Source organism: Homo sapiens, chromosome 1, assembly GCF_000001405.40.
Source record: "Homo sapiens chromosome 1, GRCh38.p14 Primary Assembly".
Lineage (NCBI taxonomy): Eukaryota > Metazoa > Chordata > Mammalia > Primates > Hominidae > Homo > Homo sapiens.
Genome location: NC_000001.11, coordinates 247610270 through 247633810, shown reverse-complemented (window position 1 = coordinate 247633810; position 23541 = coordinate 247610270). Strand labels below are relative to the sequence as shown.

Sequence of the window (23541 nt, the reverse complement as noted above, 5' to 3'; positions counted from 1 at the left end):
GACCATCGACACTATGAAAAAACTGCATCAACTAACGGGCAAAATAACCAGCTAGCATCATAATGGCAGATCAAATTCACACATAACGATATTAACCTTAAATGTAAATGGGCTAAGTGCCCCAATTAAAAGACACAGACTGGCAAATTGGATAAAGAGTCGAGACCCATCAGTGTGCTGTATTCAGGAGACTCATCTCATGTGCAAAGACACACATAGGCTCAAAATAAAGGGATGGAGGAATGTTTACCAAGCAAATGGAAAGCAAAAAAACAAAAAACAAAAAAACAGGAGTTGAAATCCTAATCTCTAACAAAACAGACTTTAAACCAACAAAGATCAAAAGAGACAAAGAAGGGCATCACGTAATGGTAAAGGGATCAATGCAACAATAAGAACTAACTATCCTAAATGTATATGCACCCAATATAGGAGCACCCAGATTCATAAAGCAAGTTCTTAGAGACCTACAAAGGGACTTAGACTCCCACACTGTAATAGTGGGAGACTTTAATACCCCACTGTCAATATTAGACAGATCAATGAGACAGAAAATTAACAAGGATATCCAGAACTTGATCTCAGCGCTGGACCAAGCGGACTTAATAGACATCTGCAGAACTCTACACCCCAGATCAACAGAATATACATTCTTCTCAGCACCACATAGCACTTATTCTAAAATTGACCACATAATTAGAAGTAAAACACTCTTCAGCAAATGAGAAAGGACGAAAATCACAACAAACAGTCTCTCAGACCACAGTGCAATCAAATTAGAACTCGATATTAAGAAACTCACTCAAAACCACATAACTACATGGAAACTGAACAACCTGTGCCTGAATGACTACTGGGTAAATAATGAAATGAAGGCAGATGTTCTTTGAGACCAATGAGAACAAAGACACAATGTACCAGAATATCTGGGACACATTTAAAGCAGTGTGTAGAGGAAAATTTATAGCACTAAATGCCCACAAGAGAAAGAAGGAAAGATCTAAAATCAACACCCTAACATCACAATTAAGAGAACTAGAGAAGCAAGAACAAACAAATTCAAAAGCTAGCAGAAGACAAGAAATAACTAAAGTCAGAGCAGAACCGAATGAGATAGAGACACGAAAAAGCCTTCAAAAAATCAATGAATCCAGGAGCTGGGTTTTTGAAAAGATCAACAACATAAGTAGACCACTAGCCAGACTAATAAGAAAAAAGAGAACAATCAAATACAACACAAAAAAATGATAAAAGTGTTATCACCACTGATCCCACAGAAATACAAACTACCATCAGAGAATACTATAAACACCTCTATGTAAATACATTAGAAAATCTAGAAGAAATGGATAAATTCCTGGACACATACACCCTCCCAAGACTAAACCAGGAAGAAGTCAAATCCCTGAATAGACCAATAACAAGTTCTGAAATTGAGGCAGTAATTAATAGCCTACTAACCAAAAAAAGTCCAGGACCAGACAGATACACAGCCGAATTCTACCAGAGGTACAAAGTGGAGGTGGTACCATTCCTTCTGAAACTATTGCAAACAATAGAAAAAGAGGGAATCCTCCCTAACTCATTTTACGAGGCCAGCATCATCCTGATACCAAAACCTGGCAGAGACACAACAAAAAAGAAAATTTCAGGCCAATATCCCTGATGAACATCGATGTGAAAATCCTCAATAAAATACTGGCAAGCTGAATCCAGCAGCACATCAAAAAGCTTATCCACCATGATCAAGTAGCTTCATCCCTAGGATGCAAGGCTGGTTCAACATATGCAAATCAATAAACGTAATCCATCACTTCAACAGAACCAATGACGAAAACCACCTGATTATCTCAATAGATGGAGAAAAGGCCTTCAGCAAAATTCAACAACACTTCATGCTGAAAACTCTCAATAAACGACGTATCGATGGAACATATCTCAAAATAATAAGAGCTATTAATGAAAAACTCACAGCCAATATACTGAATGGGCAAAAACTGGAAGCATTCCTTTTGAAAACAGGCACAAGACAAGGATGCCTTCTCTCTCCACTCCTATTCAACATAGTATTGGAAGTTCTGGCCAGGGCAATCAGGCAAGAAAAAGAAATAAATGGTATTCAATTACGAAAAGAGGAATTTAAATTGTCTCTGTTTGCAGATGATACGATTGTATATTTAGAAAACCCCATCATCTCAGCCCAAAATCTCCTTAAGCTTGATAAGCAACTTCAGCAAAATCTCAGGACACAAAATCAATGTGCAAAAATCACAAGCATTCTTATACACCAATAACAGACAAACAGAGAGCCAAATCATGAGTGAACTCCCATTTACAACTGCTACAAAGAGAATAAAATACCTAGGAACACAACTTACAAGGGATGTGAAGGACCTCTTCAAGGAGAACTACAAACCACTGCTCAAGGAAATAAGAGAGGACACAAACAAATGGAAAAACATTCCATGCTCATGGATAGGAAAAATCAAGATCATGAAAATGGCCATACTGCCCAAAGTAATTTATAGATCCAATGCTATCCCCATCAAGCTGCCACTGACTTTCTTCACAGAATTGGAAAAAAAAAAAAACTACCTTAAATTTCATATGGAACCAAAAAAGAACCCACATAGCCAAGACAATCCTATGCAAAAAGAACAAAGCTGGAGGCATCATGCTACCTGACTTCAAACTATACTACAAGGCTACAGTAACCAAAACAGCATGGCACTGCTACCAAAACAGGTATACAGACCAATGGAACAAAACAGAGCCCTCAGAAATAACACCACACATCAACAACTACCCGATCTTTGACAAACCTGACAAGAACAAGCAATGGGGAAAGGATTCCATATTTAATAAATGGTGTTGGGACAAATGACTAGATATAAGCAGAAAGCTGAAACTGGATTCCTTCCTTACACCTTATACAAAAAAATAACTCTAGATGGATTAAAGACTTAAACATAAGACCTAAAACCATAAAAACCCTAGAAGAAAACCTAGGCAATACCATTCAGGACATAGGCATGGGCAAAGACTTCATGACTAATACACCAAAAGCAATGACAACAAAAGCCAAAATTGACAAATGGGATCTAATTAAACTAAAGAGTTTCTGCACAGCAAATGAAACTATCGTCAGAGTGAACAGGCAACCTACAGAATGGGAGAAAACTTTTGCAATCTATCCATCTGACCAAGGGCAAATATCTCAAATCTACAAAGAACTTAAACAAATTTACAAGAAAAAAAACAACCCCATCAAAAAGTGCACCAAGGATATGAACAGACACTTCTCAAAAGAAGACATTTATGCAGCCAACAAACATATGAAAAAAAAGCTCATCATCACTGGTCATTAGAGAAATGCAAATCAAAACCACAATGAGATACCATCTCATGCCAGTTAGAATGGTGATAATTAAAAAGTGAGGAAACAATAGATGCTGGAGAGGTTGTGGAGAAATAGGAATGCCTTTACACTGTTAGTGGGAGTGTAAATTAATTCAACCATTATGGAAGACAGTGTCGTGATTCCTCAAGGATCTAGAACCAGAAATACCCTTTGACCCAGCATTCCCATTACTGGGTACATACCCAAAGGATTTATATTCTTTATTCTACTATATACTTCATAGCTTTTTTATTTACTTCATAGCTCTTTGCACTTTTATTGCATTAATATCCTTATATGACTATTTTGCCTTCTTCTACCAGAAAGTAAGTTCCATGAAAGCAGAGGAATTTATTTTTATATTAACAAGGGTATCAATCAGTACTTAAAGTACCAGTGCTGCAGAATATATAGAGCATTTATTCGATACATGCAAGTGATGAATAAATAAATGCATAGTTCAAATTAATTGAAAGTGTTTATGTGGACTCACAGTGTAAATTTTAAGCTTTGCTGAGGACACAGATCATCTCTGTTTGTTATATCTCCCTAGGTATTGACTACAATGAATAGTTACCAGTGTTTTTAAAAGTATACTGATCTATACTAAGATTATTTTAGTCATAAAAATCCACAATGGGATAAAATGTAAGTTTTTTCTGCGGGGGGAGGACAATCTCTACTTATATGTGTTATAGTCTCTGCTCAAATACATTACCAAAAAGCAGTTCCATGCATGCCATCTAAACTAGAAACTGAGGGGGAAGAATAAGATGGCCAAATAAAGGGCTCTACTAATTTTCTCCCCTGCCTCTACCAGTTTCACATCTACACAAAACAAACCACCTTTATAAGAACCAAAATCAAGTGAGCACTCACAATACCTGGTTTTAACCTCACATTAATAAAAGAGACACTGAAGAAGGTAGGAAAGAAAGTCTTAAATCCTTGATATTACCTCTCTCCAGTCCCTTGGCAGTGGCCATGTGGTGTGAAGAGAGAATCTGTGTGCTGTAAGAAGGATAGCACAGCAACTGTGAGACGTTGTATTGAACTCAGTGCTGTCCTGCCACAGCAGAAAGCAAAACTGGACTGAACTCAGCTAACACCTTTCCACAAAGGAAGCAGATAAATCAGCCCTAGCTAGAAGGGAATAACACATGCCAGCTGTTGGAACTTGAGTTCTGGCAAATGTCGCTATGGTAGGCTAAAGTGCTCTGGGATCCTATAAAAACTTGTAAGGCAGTATAGACTGCAAAGACTGCAACTCCTAGGTGGGTCCTAGTGCTGAACTGGGCTCAGAACCAGGGAACTTGGAGGGCATATGACATACTGAGACATCATCTGGGGTGGCCAAGGGAGTGCTTACATCACCCCCGCAACCTTAGGCTGCACAGCTCATGGCTCCAAAACAGACTGCTTCCTTCTGCTTGAGGATTGAAGAGAGTAAAGAGAACTCTGTCTTACATCTTGGATACCACCTCAGTCACAGTAAGATAGGCCATCAGTCAAAGCCGTGAGGCCCCCTTTCCAGGCCCTAGTTCCAAAATGACAATTCTAGACACACCCTAGGCCAGAAGGAAACCTGAGGCCTTGAAGGAAATTACCCAGTCCTGGCAGGATTCATCACTTGCTAACTAAAGAGCCCTTGGACCCTGAATAACTAGGAGAAATACCCAGGTAGTATCTTGTGGCCCTTCAGTGAGACTCTGAGACTGGCTACCTTCAGGTAAAACTCAGCACCATCCCAGCTATAGGGGCTATGGAGAAAAACCCTTTCTACTTGAGAAAAGCAGAGGAAAAAGTAAAGGGGACTTTGTCACTGGTTTAGCCACAGGGGGCTAGAGAACCAAGCAGGTCCTTGGGGTCTTTGAGTCCAGGCTTTGGCTCTTCGATGGCATTTCTGGATCTATCCTGGGCCAAACGAGAGTCCACTGCCCTGAAAAGTAAGTCCTATCCTAGGCAGCATTTACCGCAAGGTAACTAAAGAGCCCTTTGGCCTTAAGGAAATACTTTCAGTATCCTGGAATACTCCCTGTGGGCCGTGGTGGTAGTGGTCACAGATTGAGGCTCCTCTGCCTGTGGAAAATGGGGGGAAGAGGGGATAGAACTGCATCTCGTGGTTTGAATGCCAGCAAAGCCACAGTACAATAGAACACCAGGTAGACTTCTAAGGATTTTACTCTAGTCCCTGGCTACTGAATGGCACCTCTGGACTTGGCAGGGGCCTGTGGGAAGTCTGTGCCCTGAGGGGAAAGACACAGGCCTGGCTGGCTTTCTCACCTGCTGGTTATAGAGCCCCAAGGCCTTGAGAAAACATTGGAAGTAGCCAGGTAGTGTTTATAGCAGGCCACGAGCCAGGCTCAGTCCTGTGCTGGTTTCAGGTCTGATCGAGAGCACTCTGATGCTTGTGGCCACAGGGGTGCTTGTGTCACCCCATTCCTAGCTCCAGCTGGTTCAGAGTAGAGAGAGAGAGAGACTTCATTTGTTTGAGAGAAAGTAAGCGAAGAAAACATGAGTCTCTTTCTGGTAATCCAGTGATTTATTCCAGATATCACTTAAGACCATCAAGGTGGTATCTCTATGAGTCTACAAGAACCACAGGATTACTGGCCTTGGGTGCCCCCTAAAGCCAACACAGCTTAGATCACAACACCCAAGTCTTTTTTAATACCTGGAAAGCCTTCCCAAAAAGGATGGGTGCAAATAAGCTCAGACAGTGAGCAGTACAAAAAATAACTAACTCTTTAATGCCCAGACACAAATGAACATCCATCCACAAGCATCAACATCATCCAGGAAAACATTACCTCAGCAAATGAACTAAATAAGGCACCAGAGATCAATTCTGGAGAAACATAGATATGTCACCTTTCAGACAGAGAATTCAAAATAGCTGTGTTGAAAAAAACTCAAAAAAATTGAGAATAACACAGAGAAGGAATTCAGAATTCTGTCAAATAAATTTAACAAAGAGATTGAAATAAAAACAAGCAGAAATTCTGGAGTTGAAAAATGCAATTGACCTACTGACGAATGCATCAGAGTTTTCCAATAGCACATTGATTAAGCAGGAAAAAGAATTAGTGAGCTTGAAGACAGGCTATTTGAAAACAGAGGAGATAGTTTACTCCATTTTCATACTGCTATAAAGAGCTGCCTGAGACTCAGTAATTTATAAAGAAAATAGGTTTAATTGACTCACAGTTCAACATAGCTGGGGAGGCCTCATGGAGGAAGGGGAAGCAAGGCACCTTCTTCAAAGATGGCAGGAAGGAGAAGAGTCAAGCAAAGGGGGAAGAGCCCTTTATAAAACCATCAGATCTCATGAGAACTCACTCACTATCATGAGAACAGCATGGGGGAATCTGCCCCCATGATTCAATTACCTCCACCTTGTCTCTCCCTTGACATGTGGGGATTACAATTCAAGATGAGATTTTGGTGGGGATGCAAAGCCTAACCATATCGGGGACAAAAGGAAAAATTATAAGAAACAAAGAAGCATGCCTACAGGATCTAGAAAGTAGCCTCAAATGGGCTACTCTAAAAGTTATTGGCTTTAAAGAGGTGGTAGAGAAAGAGATAGGAGTAGAAAGTTTATTCAAAGGTGTAATAACATAGAATTTCCCAAACCTATATCATTATTCAAGTACAAGGTTATAGAACACCAATCAGATTTAGCCCAAATAAGACTACCTCAAGGTATTTAATAAACTTCCGAAGGTCAAAATAAAGTATCCTAAAAGCAGCAAGAGACAAGAAACAAATAACATACCATGAAGCTCAAATACATCTAGGAACTGACTTTTCAACAGAAAGCTTACAGACCAGGAGAATGGTATGACATGTTTACAGTGCAGAAGGAAAAATACTTTTATTCTGGAATACCATATCCAGGGAAAATATTAGTTAAATATGAAGAAGAATTGAAGACTTTCCAGAAAAACAAGAGCTGGCGAATTTCATCAACACCAGACCAGACAATAACTACAAATAAAATAAAATACCAAGGAATTAACCACAGAAGTGAATGATTTCTACAATGAAAACTATAAAACGCTGATGCAATAAATTGGAGAAGACACAAAATACTGGAAAGATGTTTCACGTTCATGGATTAGGAGAATAAATATTGTTAAAATGTCCACTCTATCTAAAGTAATATACAGATTCAATTCAATCCTTATCAAAATACCAATGACATTTTTCACAGAAATAGGAAAAAAAGTCCTAAAATCTATGTGGAACCACAAAAGACCCAGAATAGCAAAGATTTATTAAGTAAAAAGAACAAAACTGGAGGAATCACATTATTTGACTTTAAGTTATACTACAGAGCTTTAGTAATCAAAACGGCATGGTTCTGGTATAAAAACAGACACATAGATCAGTGGAACAGAATAGAGAACCCAGAGATAAATCTATACATCTACAGTGAACTCAATTTTGACAAAGGTGCCAAGATCATACATTAGGGAAAGAACACCATTTTCAATAAGTGGTGCTGGGAAAACTGGATATTCGTATGCAGAAGAATAAAACTAGACCCCTTTCTCTCACCATATAGAAAACTCAAATCAAAATGGATTAAAGACTTAAATGTAAGACCTCAAACTATGAAAATACTAAAAGAAAACATTGGAGAATGCTCTCAGACATTGGACTGGTTGAAGATTTATTGACTAATACCTCAAAAGCACAGGCAACCAAAGCAAAAATGGACAAATGATCACATCAAGTTAAAAATCTCTGGCACAGCAAAGGAAACAATCAACAAAGTGAAGACAAAACCCATAGACTGAGAGAAAATATTTGAAAACTACCCATCTGACAGAATATATAAAGAGCACAAATAACTCTCTAGGGACAAATCTAATAATCTGATTTAAACATGGGCAAAAGATCTGAATAGGCATTTCTCAAAAGAAGACATAAAAATGGCAAACAGGTATATGAAAAGGTCCTCAATATCACTGATTGTCAGAGAAATACAAATCAAAACTACAATGAGATATCACCTCACCCCAGATAAAATGGTTTTTATCCAAAAGTCAGTCAGGCTATAACAAATGCTGGCAAGGATGTGAAGCAAAGAGAACCCTTGTACACTGTGGGTTAGAATGTAAATTAGTAGAATCACTATGGACAACAGTTTGACAGTTCCTCAAAAAATTAAAAATAGAGTTACCATACAATCCTGCAATCCCACTCCTAGGTACGTACACAAAAGAAAGGAAATTAGTGTATTGAAAAGGTGCCTGCACTACAATGTTTGCTACAGCTCTGCTCACAATAGTTACACAATGGAAGCAACACAAGTGTCCAACAACAGATGAATGGATAAAGAAAATTTGGTAACTATACACAATGGGGTTCTAGTCAACCATAAGAAGAATGAAATCCTGTCATTTGCAACAACATGGATGAAACTGGAGTTCATCATTTTAAGCAAAATGAGCCAAGCACAAAAAGACAAACTTCACATGTTCTCATTTATTTGTGGAAGCTAAAAATTAAAATAATCAAACTCTTGGAGCTAGAGAGTAGAAGCATGGTCTGGTAAGGGTAGTTGGGGGAAGTGGGGAGGAAATAGTGATGGTTGATGGGTACAAAAATAGAAATAATTATTAGGACTTAGTGTTTGTTAACACAACAGAATGACTGTAGTCAAAAATAATTTAATCATACATTTTAAAACTACTAACATATTATAACTGGATTGTTTGTAACACAAAAGATAAATGCTTCAGGTCATGGATACCCCATTTACCCTGATGTGATTACTATTTATTGCATGCCTTTATCAAGATATCTCATGTATCTCATATATATACACCTACTATATACCCATAAAAATAAAAATTAAATCAAAAATTTAAAAAACTGGAATCCAATACTACTTCATTCTCTATCCTCTTACCTTTCTCTATGCTTCTTCATTTAACTACAATTCCAGACAATAAATTATGCATTATTTGAATTGGTTTATTTATTATTTCATCAGTGGAAAAAATTGTTTCTTCTCTCTGCTACGGTAACTTTCTCCCTGATTAGCTTAGTGCACAGTTATCAATCAATAAATATCTATGAATGAACATATCCATTTAGTATAAATACATTCACTTTGACTCTGAGTCATAGTGCACACACACACACACCCAAGCACGCACACACGTGCTACTTCGACAGAAAATAATCAAATATATTTACAAAGTAATTATAAGTTGTAAAGCTAATACAGTTATGGTTTTTTCATCTGAGGAAGAAAATTCAAGACAAATTTAGGAAATTGTTTTCCAGTGTCAAGATTTTTGGATGAAAGATACTAGCCAGTTCACTTCCTTCTATCCTTCTATTAAACCAATGATATACAAATAAATGAATTACTTTTGCCAGTTTTTATATCTGCAAGATAAATCAGCAGTAGACAAAACGAAATTTCTTTTTTTCTTAGAATCAATAACTCTTGTTAAAGGAGATGGTATTTCTACTAAGGGATAAGTGAAAAGCTCAGGAAATGCTCAAATGAGGGCCTTTATAACTTTTATATATTCCAATTTTAAAGATGTCTTCTAGTTCTTATGAACACACAAACACACATGCACACGTGTATACACAGATACACACATGTACGCACACACAAACACACACACACTAACTGTGGTGGGGAAATTGACAGATATGGAGAAGATGCATTCATCCAAGTTTAATGGTTTTCTTAAATCTTGAAAAGTAAATACTGAAGTTATGGTTAATTAATTTACACCAATATATTCTCCAGTGAAAGTTAATTTCAGTTATATCTCTGCTTTTTTCTAAAGCAAATTAGTGCTTCAATAAACATTCTTAAAAATGCTTTCTCATGTATGAAAGAGTTTTCCGAGGTGTATGCCTGTACGTGGAATTGCTGAGGCACAGATGTAATGCATGAGATAGATGCTATAAGTAAGCTCACTCAGTCCTTATTTTAAACTCTTTCCAGTCTGTATTATAGTCTTCAGGGAAGCTATAGATTTGAAGCATATCTTGTACTGGTTCTTTCATATCTCCATCTCCCTGCTTGTATATGACCCAGTTTCCATCAAGAAAACTAGTAGTGGAGCTTCTGTGGGAAGAAGTCACATATGTGAAGGAATGTTGGGTTTCTTGCAAGCTTGGAGTGGAAGTGGTCGATTCTTCTGGAAAATCAGAGATTTTCTCAAATATACTTATACCCACAAGTACAGCAGCAGCTGTTGGGTTTCATCACCATTTGTGGTGTTTTGAGAGCCTTTTTAAAATATATTCAGTTCCTGGTAATGTACAGCCCAAGCTCTCACATGTAGACTGTGCATGTAATGGCAGTAGTCTACGTTTTAAACTCCATATGCCTCAATAGGCTATTTGTAATTTTATACGTTTCAACTAAGAACCATGATGAATGCAATCCATGTTTAACATTACTGTATAAATAACAAAATATGGATCAAAGTGTTCACTAACAGCAGTGTGTGTGTCCAAGTCGTTCCTAAGCCCACCAACACTTGATGCTGTCAAATATTTTAGAAAGCTTGCCTGTGTTACTGGACAAATTATGTTTTCTCTGCTGTGAGATGACTTCCAGGATAATGCACTCTTCAAGTACAATGCATATTTTTACATGTTCTTGATCTGATCCTGATTTAAAGAAGTCATTTTCACATTCAGAGTGCCAATCCTTTGGCAATTAGGTTCTATGGGTATGTAGTTTGGGATTTTTTCCACTTTAAGATGACTGTGGGTGAGAATAAAGCCTTACATTTAATAGTTATCATTATCAATGTTTTCCTTTAGATGTTGCATTTTTTCATAATTTGAGTGACTATACCTTCCTCCCTAAGCTTAATAGTTTCTAGCTTTCGATTTAAAGTGAGAGACGGGCAACTCTTCCTTTCACTTGAAAATTCAGAGGCCTTGTAGGATTATTGATCGACCTAATTTTCATATTGTTGTGTCTAAGGAAATTGCAAGGCCTAAGGAGAGGAAAAAAAGATGGAGACACAGCCAGTCAACGGAGAGTCAGAACACACACACTTATTAAGTTTATCATCTTATATGAGAACAGTTCATGGCTCCCCGAAACAAATACAATAGTAACATTGAACATCACTGATCACAGATCACCAAAACAGACATAACAATAATGAAAAAGTTTGAAATATTGTGAGAATCACTAAAAGGTGACACACAGACGTGAAGTGAGCACACGCTGTCAGAAAAATGGTGCCAATAGACTTGCCCAATGCAAAGTTACCAAAAACCTTTGATTTATAAAAAATGCAATATTTGTGAAATTCAGCAAATGAAGTGCAATACAATGAGGTACGCTTGCATCTATCCAAAGAACTGGAATCAGTAGGTCAAAGGCATGTCTGTATTTCCATGTGCATTGCGGCATTACAATAGCCGAAATATGGAATCAATCTAAGTGTCCACCATGGACAAATGGATTTTTAAAATGTAGTATACACACACAATGGAATACTATTCAGCCTTGAAAAAAAACATGAAATTCTGTCATTGGTGACAATATGGATGAACCTAGAGAAGACATCATGTTACGTGAAATAAGCCAGTCACAGAGAGACAAATACCACAGGATCTCACTTATATGTGGAATCTGAAAAAGTCAAACTCATAAAAATACAGAGTAGAATGGTGCTGACCAGAAGATGGAGGCAAGGGTGATGGTAGACTGGTAAAGGGGAAATGTTGGTCGGAGAGCACAGAGTTCCAGTTAGACAGGAAGGATAAGCTCTGGTGATCTATTGCACAGCAAGATTAATCTAGTTCATACCAATGTATTGTGTGTTTCAAAACAGTTAAAAGAGGATTTTAAACAATGTCACCACAAATGAATGACAAATGTTTCAGGTGATATATTACATTGCCTGATTTAATCATTCCACATTGCAAACATGTATTAAAACATCACTTTTACCCCATAGGCATATATAATTATTTTTATTTGTCAACTAAAAATACAATTTAAAGGACTTTAAAAAGGATAACTAAGGTAGGATGCTATTTATATTATAGTTTAAGTATTAATTTATAAAATGATGCTATGCATTTTATAGATGAATATTTATATAGATAGAATACACATAAAAGCACTCTGGGAATAATGCATAATAACTTTCAGTTCATACTTTCCTATGCAGAGGAAAAATGGAAGAAGATTTTAGTTAGCTTAACATAATATTGTGTTTAATGAAAATGACATTTCTCCTCTGTGAACCTTCCTATACACAGCACCATAAACATATGTGAACCTTTATAGTTTGTGATATTATTGCATATATTTCATCTCACCCAATAGATATGCTCCCAGAACACTGGTCTCTAGCCTATTTGACCATCCTTTATAATGCTGAAGAAATTCTGAGCACACACTGTTACCTTATGTTTATTTTCCATTTGGTTGTTTTTAATCCATATGATCTTGTTCTGCTGTAATTAATATACACATACGGTAGTAATTCATTTATATTAGTAATTCACTTTTATATTAATTAATATGTTGTATTACTGAGTACAATATAATTTATAAAATTTTGAGATCTACAACTCATAAAAATGAATAAAAGCACAAGTTCTAATGTTTTGAACACCCCGAAGTACCTTTTAGTGCATTCTAAGGTTGAATTCACCCAAATATGGTTAGTATGGTAAACTATAGCTGAATTTAATTTAAAAATCAAGAAAGAGCTCAGCAATCAATTGAAAATATAAACCCAGAGAGTTTACAAATTGCCTGATTAGAGCAAGAGTTCAAGAGTCTGGTCCGTAATCAAATTCTTCATCTAGCATACCACACTGCCTTCTCAGGGACCACACTGCCTTCTCAGGGCTGCCTTCATGTCCCTATTCCTCAGACTATAGATGACGGGGTTCAGGGTCGGGGGCACGACTGTGTAGAACGCAGACAGGAAAACATCCAGAACGGGGGGAGAATTTGAAATTGGCTTCACATAGGCAATGCTGCCAGATATCATAAAGAGTGTTACAACCACAAGATGTGGAATGCAGGTAGAAAATGTTTTTGATCTACCCTCCTTAGAAGGAATCCTCATGATGACAGAAAAAATGTACATGTAGGAGAGAGTAATTACAACAAAGGAGATTATCACAAGACTTGTACCAAAAACCATGACTCCAATCTCAATGGTAATTACTTTGGGGTCTAAGAGGCTTAGGAGCTGTGGAATATTACAGAAAAATTGACGTATTCTATTGCGCCCACAGAATGGTAATGAGAATGTTGCTATCACATGCATGAATCCACAGATCACCCCACTGAGCCACGACATGGCCATCATCCTCAGACAGACACCTTGGTTTATGATGACCTCATAATGTAAAGGCCGGCAGATGGCCATATAGCGGTCATAGGACATCACTGTAAGGATGGCTACCTCCGTAGTTGCCAAGTCCATGAAAAAGAAGGCTTGCAGAGCACACCCAAAGAAAGAAATGGAAGTATCATGAGTCAAGGAACTAACAATAGATTTTGGAATTGTGACAGAGATGTAACAAAAATCTAAGAAAGACAAGTTTCTCAAAAAGAAATACATTGGGGTTTGGAGGTGAACATCCAGAGTGGTAAGTATGATGATTAGGAGATTTCCTATGACAGCTGCCAGGTAAACTAGGAAGAATAGAGCAGCATGTACAATCTGAATATCCCAGGAATTCGAAAATCCCATGAGGAAAAATTCAGCAACTTCAGTTTGGTTAAAATCACTTGTGGTCGTTCCATTTCTTCCTAAAGAGAGAAAAAAAATGGATTATAGAAATATCAAATATGGCTACCCCCAGTGATATTTCAATTTGTGATAATTAATTATAAGGTTACTCATATGCAGCATGGATACTATCGTTCTAACCCTAAATCTCAATTACACAGAATAGTGCTTTATACAAAGCATATTCTCAATAAATACATCATAGTATGTGAGGTGTATAAAAGACGACAACCAAAATGCAAAATAAAAAGGGAGAATGAATAACCTCACTGACATAATCAACAAAGAAAATATATAGTATTAACAAAAGAATAAAGTGTGCATACTTGGACAAAAAATGAGTATTATTCCCATCAACTGAATATACATATTTATTTTGAAGCATTTTATTTGCTCATTATGTGTTAAAGAACAGCATTGCAAGTGGTTTGTCATAGTTCTTTTCAGTTTTATGAAAATAAAATCAAAGTGGTATTAGTAATCTGAAAAAAAGGCTCCTTATGTCATAACTATTTAGTGAGGTTATAGTCACAGCCTTTCAAAAAAGTATCAGGAGACATTTGGTAAACACCTCACGTAAAAAGCACAATGGTTGGCTCTTATAGTAAAAGATTTCATAAGAAACAGTTCTTGAATTCAAAACTTAAACAATCAAATAGAGAACGTAGGGAGGTAAAATACTAAGTGGAATCTGGTATTATAAACAATAGCAGGCATGTTGAGAAAGGGTAATAGTGGATGTATCGAGAAAAGAGATTGGTCTTATTTTGTGTTGTTATAGAAGAGTTGCAGAGAACAGTGTCTGAGCTAGGTTTTGAGAACTATTTTACTGAATGATTTTTAGACTGATATTTTTGAAGAAAGCCACATAGGAAAAGGCAGAGGTACAGAAGTATTTATCGTATGCTTAGGATATGGGTATGGATTAGCTAGGAAATGTGTATTTACATCAGTCTAGTCTTTTTGCTGGTCTTCAGAATCTGTCTTCAATGTTGAGATTCAAAGAAAAAGAATATCAATTATGTATTCAAGACACCTAAAAATATTGAGCAATTTCTACAATGATCTTTCCTAGCATCTGCGACTCACTTTATTTTTTTTTAATTTTGCTTTGGATTGGTCTAGTCCAGTAAAATGGGAGTCCTCATTCCCAGACTTCTATAGTGTTTAAGCCAAACTCTGAAATGGATTTTCACCCATATCAAATAATGTAGCTGGAATTTATGTAGGGTAAACTGTATCAATTTAAAGTATGCAATTCTAGGAGTTTTCGCAGTTGTATATGCCTATGAAACCACCACCACAACCAGGGCAGACTATTTTCATCATATCCAAAATATTCCTTATCCTTCTTTGTATATAATCTCTTCTTCTGGCAGTTTTCACTCTAGGCAATCACTGATTTCCTGGTCTTTCTTGGGTAAATCAAAAGTTAAACCGAGAAAGAAAACCAAAATGGAGTCAACTGAATGTCTCTCTACTGGAAAATGTGTTTCTATTTGTTCTAGTTTTCTGACATTGATCGCCTAAATAGCTGGTTGTTAAAGGGACAGGTACAACCAAATAGAAAGAAAAATGCTTCTTGTGACCAAGTAAAAGAACCAACTTCATCTTGGGAATCTATTCTGATTACAGTTTACCAGGGCACCATTAATTGATATCTCTTTTATCAAAATGTTTAAAGGAATGATGTGGTGACACTAATCAGGAAGAGAAATATCAAGGACTCTAAAGTGAGAACTATTATGCATTGACAGGCATTGGAATTGACTCTTTTATTATGAATTTTTTAAAATTCAGTCAATGCAAACATGTTTAAATGTGCACATCCTTTTCATTGAACACACACACATACAGAACTTTCACCACTGAAAAGAAATATAGACTCATCCAATCCCACCATACATCGAGACTACACACACACACACACGCACACACACACACACACCTTTCACCACTGAAAGGAAATATAGACTCATCCAATTCACCACACATCAAAACTCGTATTATACTACTCCCTCTTTTCTTTTACCTGCTTTCATGGATGTGCATTGCTCATGCCCAGATCCAGAACTGCTATCACCCCAAAAAAAGAAATAACTGTGTATTCTAAAATGTGTTGTGCTTAATCTATAAATCAGATAAGAAGATGGTATGGAAATATATCAGTGCAATCTATTAATTGAAAAATAATATAACATTATTTATGGTTTTATTTTCCACTTATGGTATTGAACTTACTGCATGCTATGAGCTGATTTTTGTTGAACTGGGCCATTGAGCAACTCCAGTCATTCAAAATTTCAAACTTCTGTTTCTTTGAGAAGGAGCCTTGGTTTACCTGAACATATCAGATAAAATTGAAAAATGCCCTAATCTAACAATGTGGCTGTAGCCTCCAAGTTGCAACTGCAAATGTCTTTATCTTCTCCCTGATTCAAAAATATAAACTTGATGAGTGCCACATCTGGTTTCCATTTAGCTGTGATTCAATATTTGTAATGAAATGGTGATTAATAAGTGAGATCCTAATGAGAGAAACTCTTTATAATTCGGAGGTCTCTGGAGACAAGATTTCTTGTAAATATGTCCTTGGCGAGCAAAAAGAAAAGCAGAGCTTTGATTAATTCAGTGACTAGCAACAAGGAGAAATATTCTTTTCTGTGATGTGGGATAAAAGAATGCGAATTAATTGCATAATATAACCTTCCACACGCCCAGAGGCTCGATTAGATAGAGCGCTTGTGCTGAGAGTGAAAGAAGAAACGATCGATACTTATGCTTGGACAATAGGTATAAACCCAACCAGAGATTCTGGAACTAGATTTTCATTCTTAATATTTTTATCCTAATATTCTTCCCAAATAGGTATATTTGTGCCTTTTCATAGCCCTTTCTATCCCAAGTCAATTTTGTATATGAATGGCAAATTTTAAACACAAAGCTAATCCAGCTGGGCATCCTGGCTCATGCTTGTAATCCTAGCACTTTGTGGGGCTGAGGCAGACAGATAGCTTGAGCCCAGGAGTTTAAGACCATCTCACTGGGCACAGGGGCATGTACCTGTAGTCCCAGCTACTCGGGAGGCTGAGGTGGGAGGATCTATTGAGCCAGGGAGATGGAGGTGAGCCATAGTCACACCACTGCACTCCACTCTCAACAACAGAGCAAGATCCTGTCTCAAAAAAAAAACAAAATGAAATAACAACAACAAAAAAACAAAACTAACCTGTCACCCTTGTCTTAAGACCTTTCTCTGCATTTCTTTGGTATTAAAGGTAAAATTTCTTGACTTGGCCCATATGCTTGAATGCTCCAATCCTCTGTCTCATTTCATGTCATTCCTCACGCCTACATGGATTGAGTGGTCACTGGATTGCTTCTTTTGTGGAATGCTATTCAAATATTTCCTCATTTAAAATTGAGTTTATTTTTATTAGTATGCAGGAATTATTTTTCATTATGGATACTAAGTCTTTATTGATGAAATTAGTTGTAGATATTTTTCAAGTTTGTAGTTTTATATTTCTCTTTATAGTGTTTTGACAAATAGAACTTACTAATTTCAATGTTGTTTTTCTATTAATTCTCCACCTTTTTTTTTTTTTTTTTTGAGACGGAGTCTCTCTCTGTCGCCCAGGCTGGAGTGCAGTGGCATGATCTCCACTCACTTGCAAGCTCCTCCCGGGTTCACGCCATTCTCCTGCCTCAGCTTCCCGAGTAGCTGGGACTACAGGTGCCCGCCACCACGCCAGGCTAATTTTGTATTTTTAGTAGAGATGGGGTTTCTCCATGTTGATCAGGCTTGTCTCAAACTCCCGACCTCAGGTGATCCGCCCCACCTCGAACTCCCAAAGTTCTGAGATTACAGAATTCTCCACTTTTAAAATTTTTTTGTTTTGGTTTTTTCTTTTGTTGTTGAAGAAATTATTTCTACAAATGGCACTGGCAGGATGGTGGAATAGGACTTTCCAACTCTCATCTGCTCACAGAAACATCAGTTCAAACAATTATTCATGCCCAAAAGGACCTTCACAAGAACTAAGAAAACCAGATGAGATATTGCAGCACAGAAATTTTAAAACATGCAATGAAGAGGATAGGAAGGACAGTGTCATCTTACCCACATCGCCTCATTCCCAATGCCAAGCAGTAATGTATGGAGAGAGATAACCTCTGTGTGGGCAAAGGAAAGTGAGCACCAAGCTTTGCCTCAGACCCCAACACCAGGCTTACCCCAGTAAAACCCAGCACCATGCTAGCCCCTGCATCACCAGGCTCCAGGCTGCCTTGCAAACACAGTCCCCAAGCTTGCTCTACTGCCAGGTCAGCCTCAGAAGCCCCGGGCTCCAGAGATCCCCCTGCACTAGGCCAGCTCCCACAACCATAGTCTTTAGGCCTGCCTCGTAAACAGGCTAACCCAACACGTCAAATCACCATGTCAGCACCCATGCACCCAGCCTCCAGGCCCATTCCTGTGCCAAGGAAGCCCCCGTAGACACAGACTCCAGACCTGCCTGAGGTTCTCCATCACTTGCTCCACCACTAGGGCAGCCCCAGTGACCACAGGACCCAGACTGTTTCAGTGCCAGACCCAACCCTATAACCCCAGGCTTCAGGCCTACTCCAGTGCCAGATTGGCACCTGAAGACCACAGCACCAGGCCGTCCACCATGGCCTTGGGCACCATTCCAACACCAGCAGACCCAGTATCCAGGCTGGCCCTACAGATACAGGCTCTAAGCCCACCAACTGCAGGCCAGTTTCCCCCGTGGCCACAAGCACCAGGCTGGTACCCATGGACCCAACCTGCAGGGTGTTCCCTGTGGACACAGGCCACAGGCCCACTCAGTGCCAGGATGGCCCCTGTGATCTGGCACAGTGAGAACTCTAGGGCCTTCAGTCACATCAACAAGCACGAACCGCCTGTGTTCTACAGGAGCACTAAGAAGTCACGAATGACCCAGCTCCTCTTCCAAAGTGCCCTTCTGAATTGCTATGCCAACAAAATGGAGAAGTACTGTTTGGGGAATAATATACCTTTCAAGATCTTGCTTGCTGCGAATAACACTCCTGCACATCCTCTTATTTCTCACCCCAATATCTTATCTTCACCCCAATATCAAAGTGGTGTTGCTCCCTCCAAACACCACCTCTTTGACTCCTACATGAGGAGAAAGGACTCCTCATTGCTGTTGGCAGGGTGGGATTTCCAGCTCTCTGCGGGATATCACTGTGGATGCAATGGGCAAATGTGCTGTGTTACTGCTTCCACGTAATTCCAGTGACACCATAGTGGATGGGCTTGTTATCGTTGGGCTGTGGCAACGATAACTCTCCAGCAGGCTTCTGCTGACTCCAGCCCATCAAGGGGCGGGAGAGGCAAAATCAGGTAAGAGTGGATGCCCAGGCTCCCCATTTTAATGTTTCTGGTGGGACTAGAGGTAGGACTCTGTCTTTTCTGTGGTGTTTGGCTGGAGTGGAGAAGGTATTGTCTAGAAGTTTCTGTCTTGCCTGCCTTCCCTTTTCGTGTCCTTTGACTGGAGAGACTTGGGTGTTATAGGGGCTTTTTCTTTAGATCTGTGCCCTTCAGCATTTCTGGACTGTGAGATTTTCCAAGACCTAGGCTAGACCTCCTTCCTATACAGGAGGAAGAAAACAACAAGCCAGTCCCTAGCTGGTCTGCCTTATTCCCTTCACCTTCCAGAATCTTCCTATGCTTGTTTTATATACAGTGTCCAAGGATTTTAATTGAACTTGGCAGGAGGAAAAAGAAACAGTACTTCAACTCCATCTTTCTAAATGCTAAAGTCCTTATATAAACTTCTTATTTTAGAATAATTTTGGATTTACATAAAGATGCTCTTCCATGATTGGGCCTGCATCATAGGTTAAGTCACCTGAAGACAAGAGGAAAAAAATAGTAAACTTACCACAGGTTTGATAGTATTTCAAATTTTGGACTTTGATCTACCTGCTACTGTATATTTCCTAGAATTCTCAGGTAGCTGCTTTATCTTTTCCCACCAGGTGAAATGTGTTTGCTCTGTCCTACCTGGAACTATAAACTGTCACTTGAACTCCTCATTCTCCTTTCCCAGGGCCCCCATGTCACATTGCTTTTGTCTAATCTTTATCAAGATCTGTGCTTTTGGCATGCAATCTTACATCGTGAAACTCCAATAGTAATGGCTTTTGTATCAGTGAGAAGTATATTATTTCTTCACCAGAGTACCTACAACTTGCTTCACAGGAATGGGCTAAGCTAAATAAGACCTGCGTATTTTTCTTACTAAGTTAGAAAACTCTTACCTAAATGTATGGATTGTTGGACATGAGAAAAAGTATTAATGACTTTTCCAGAGAGTTCTGTCCTTCTGATTGATCAGAAACCTAGAAATATGGAGATGCTTCACAATGAAGACTCTTATTTCCAGTTCATTAGTTGCAAAATGAATTAAAATTTTTAAATCATAAGCCTGAAGTTTGAAATATTCTGTTTAGAGATCCTGGAAAACTAATTTGGAGGAGGTTATTCATGTCCTATAGTGTATTAAAGATTATATCTGTTTAGATGCTATTTATAGAGTGGTCAAATAATATTTTATAATTCTTCACTGCAATTCGTAAAAAATATGGTCAAAATATTGCAGATAATTTTTAATCACTGGAAGCAAGCCATTTATTCCACAATTTGATTATCTTAATAAATATGTAAATTCTCCATCTATATGGAGATCATGGCCCTGGGTTTTCAGTTTTCTTCTCCTAAATGGAAAGCTGGTATAATTTGTTTAAGTGCCTTGTACACATAGCTTGTGTCTTCACCCTGAATTCTCAAAAGACAGATTTCTAAGACTCTGATTTAGGCAAATCCACAAGTTTTACTATTTTCTTTATTTTGGAAGCAGCTTCATGATCATAGTTTTGAAAATTATGTCTTTAGAATTGTCTGCTCCTCAACTAAAATGAAAATGGCACCGTTTCCAATTATTTTATTCATATTATGTTTCACTTTGCAGAAATACACAAAATTTATGTGATTTATTTTATCCTTTACTTCTTATCCCAAGGCAACTTTTTCAGTCTTTACCATGTTCACCCAATAAATCTGGATATTCCATGGTAAGGAAAATACAGGTTAATTCAACTTGTATCTAATGCAAACCAGACATGAGCCAGAAGTTATTTTCTCTGCACATCACTGCTTTTTAATAATGTAAACATGACTTATCAACATTCAATTATATAATTTTTTCATGTTTTAAGCTATTGTTATAGTGCAAAGTTTAACACTATCCTTTTTAAATTTTTATTTATTTTTGTCAGATAATGACAAATTACAATTGTATACAATATAAAATTGTTGCTACCATATATGTAGTATACACATATATACACATTATGGAATAATTGAATCAAGCTAATTAACATATCTATCACCTCAAATACTTATTATTTATCCTTCCTGTCTAGCTGAAGCATTATATCCTCTTACCACCATTGCCCATTCCCCACAGTCCCCAGCTCCAGGTAACCACAATCCTGCACTCTGCTTCTATGTGCTGGAATTTTTTAGATTCCACATCTAAAATTAAGTGAGAGCATGCTATAATTTGCCTTTCTGTGCCTTACTTATTTTACTTAACATAATGATCTCCAGTTCCATCCATGTTGTTGCAAATGACAGGATCTCATTCTTTTCTATGGGTGAATAGTACTCCATTATATATATGTACCACATTTTCTTAATCCATTCGTCTGTTGATGGACATTTAGGTGACTTCCACATCTTAGCTATTGTAGACAGCTGCAACAAACATAGGTGTGCAGATATCTCTTTGATATACTGATTTTCTTTCTTTTGGGTATATACTCAGCAACAGGATTGCTGGATCATATTGTAGCTCAATTTTTGTTTTTTTGAGGAAACTCCAAACTGTTGTTCATAGTGGTTGTAGCAATTGACACTCCCACCAACAGTGTACAAAGGCTCCCTTTTCTCCACATCCTCACCAACATTTGTTATTGCCTGACTTTTGGATATGAGCCATTTTAACTGGGGTGAGATGATATCTCATTGCAGTTTTGATCTGCATTTCTCTGATAAGCACCTTTTCATATGCCTGTTTGATCTGCATTTCTCTGATGAACACCTTTTCATATACCTGTCTGCCATTTGTATGTCTTCTTCTGAGAAATATCTATTGAAATCTTTTGCCCATCTTTTGATCAGATTATTAAATTTTTCCCTATAGAGGTGTTTGAGCTTCTTATGTATTCTGATTATTAACCCTTTGTCAGTGGGTAGTTTGCAAATATTTTCTCCCATTCTGTGGGTTGTCTCTTTAGTTTGTTGATTGCATCCTTTGCTGTGCAGAAGCATTTTGACTTTCTGTGATCCCATTTGTCCACATTTGCTTTGGTTGCCTGCGCTTGTGGGATGTTACTGCTAGAGAAATCTTTGCCCAACAAATGTCCTACAGATTTTCCTCAATGTTTTCTTGTAGTAGTTTTATAGTTTGACGTCTTAAATTTAAGTCTTGATTATGATTTGATTTTTGTATATGATGAGAGATGGGGGTCTAGTTTCATTTTCTGAATGTAGATATCCAGTTTTCCCAGGGCCATTTATTGAAGAGATTGTCTTTTTCCAGTGAATGTTCTTGGCATCTTTGTTGAAAATGAGTTCACTGTACATGTGTGAATTTGTTTCTGTGTTCTCTATTCTGTTCCACTGATTTTTGTGTCAGTTTTTGTGCCAGTACCATGCTGTTTTGGTTACTATAGCACTATAGTATAATTTGAAGTCAGGTAATATGATTCCTCCAGTTTTATTCTTTGTGCTTAATATAGCTTTGGTTATTCTGGGTCTTTTGTGGGTCCATATAAGTTTTATAATTTTTTTTCTATTTCTGTGAAGAATGTCATTGGTATTTTCATAGGGATTGCTTTGAATCTGTAGATTCCTCTGAGTAGTAAGAACATTTTAACAATATCGATTCTTCCAATCCATGAACATGAAATATTTTTCCACTTTTTGTTGTCCTCTTTAATTGCCTTCATTAGTGTTTTACAGTTTTCATTACAGAGCTTTTTCACTTCTTTGGCTAAGCTTAATTCCTAGGTATTTAATTTTATGTGACACTACACATAAAATGGGATTTTAAAAATTTCTTTTCCATATTGTTCACTGTTGTCATGTAGAATGCTACTTATTTTGTACTCTTGTGTTCTGCAACTTTACTGAGTTTATCAGTTCTAATAGCTTTCTGGTGGGGCCTTTAGGTTTTTCCAAATATGAGATCATATCTTCTGTAAACAAGGATAATTATTTGACTTCTCCCTTTCCAATTTGACACACTTTATTTC

At 37.6% G+C, this 23541-nt stretch overlaps 1 protein-coding gene and 1 long non-coding RNA gene across 3 annotated transcripts in view, besides 1 other annotated feature; one reads left to right on the top strand and one right to left on the bottom strand.

Annotated features, from left to right (window-relative positions):
* The window catches only part of LOC102724446 (uncharacterized), a 75216-nt gene that overhangs the window by 7044 nt on the left and 44631 nt on the right, over window positions 1-23541 (top strand). The window lies entirely within an intron of this gene.
* On the bottom strand, window positions 11439-16668 carry OR14L1 (olfactory receptor family 14 subfamily L member 1). Its single transcript, NM_001396106.1, has 2 exons — window positions 16411-16668; window positions 11439-14189 (listed from the first exon to the last, which is right to left on the bottom strand). Exons 1-2 carry the CDS (start codon window positions 16445-16447, stop codon window positions 13249-13251), a joined length of 978 nt encoding a protein of 325 aa, NP_001383035.1. The 5' UTR covers window positions 16448-16668; the 3' UTR covers window positions 11439-13248.
* Window positions 18289-18852: an enhancer, noted in NCBI's record as "H3K27ac-H3K4me1 hESC enhancer chr1:247778261-247778824 (GRCh37/hg19 assembly coordinates)". NCBI's record gives its function as "activates a minimal SCP1, AML or CMV promoter by ChIP-STARR-seq in primed H9 embryonic stem cells {active_cell/tissue: H9 hESC(primed)}" and the evidence as "EXISTENCE:reporter gene assay evidence [ECO:0000049][PMID:30033119]".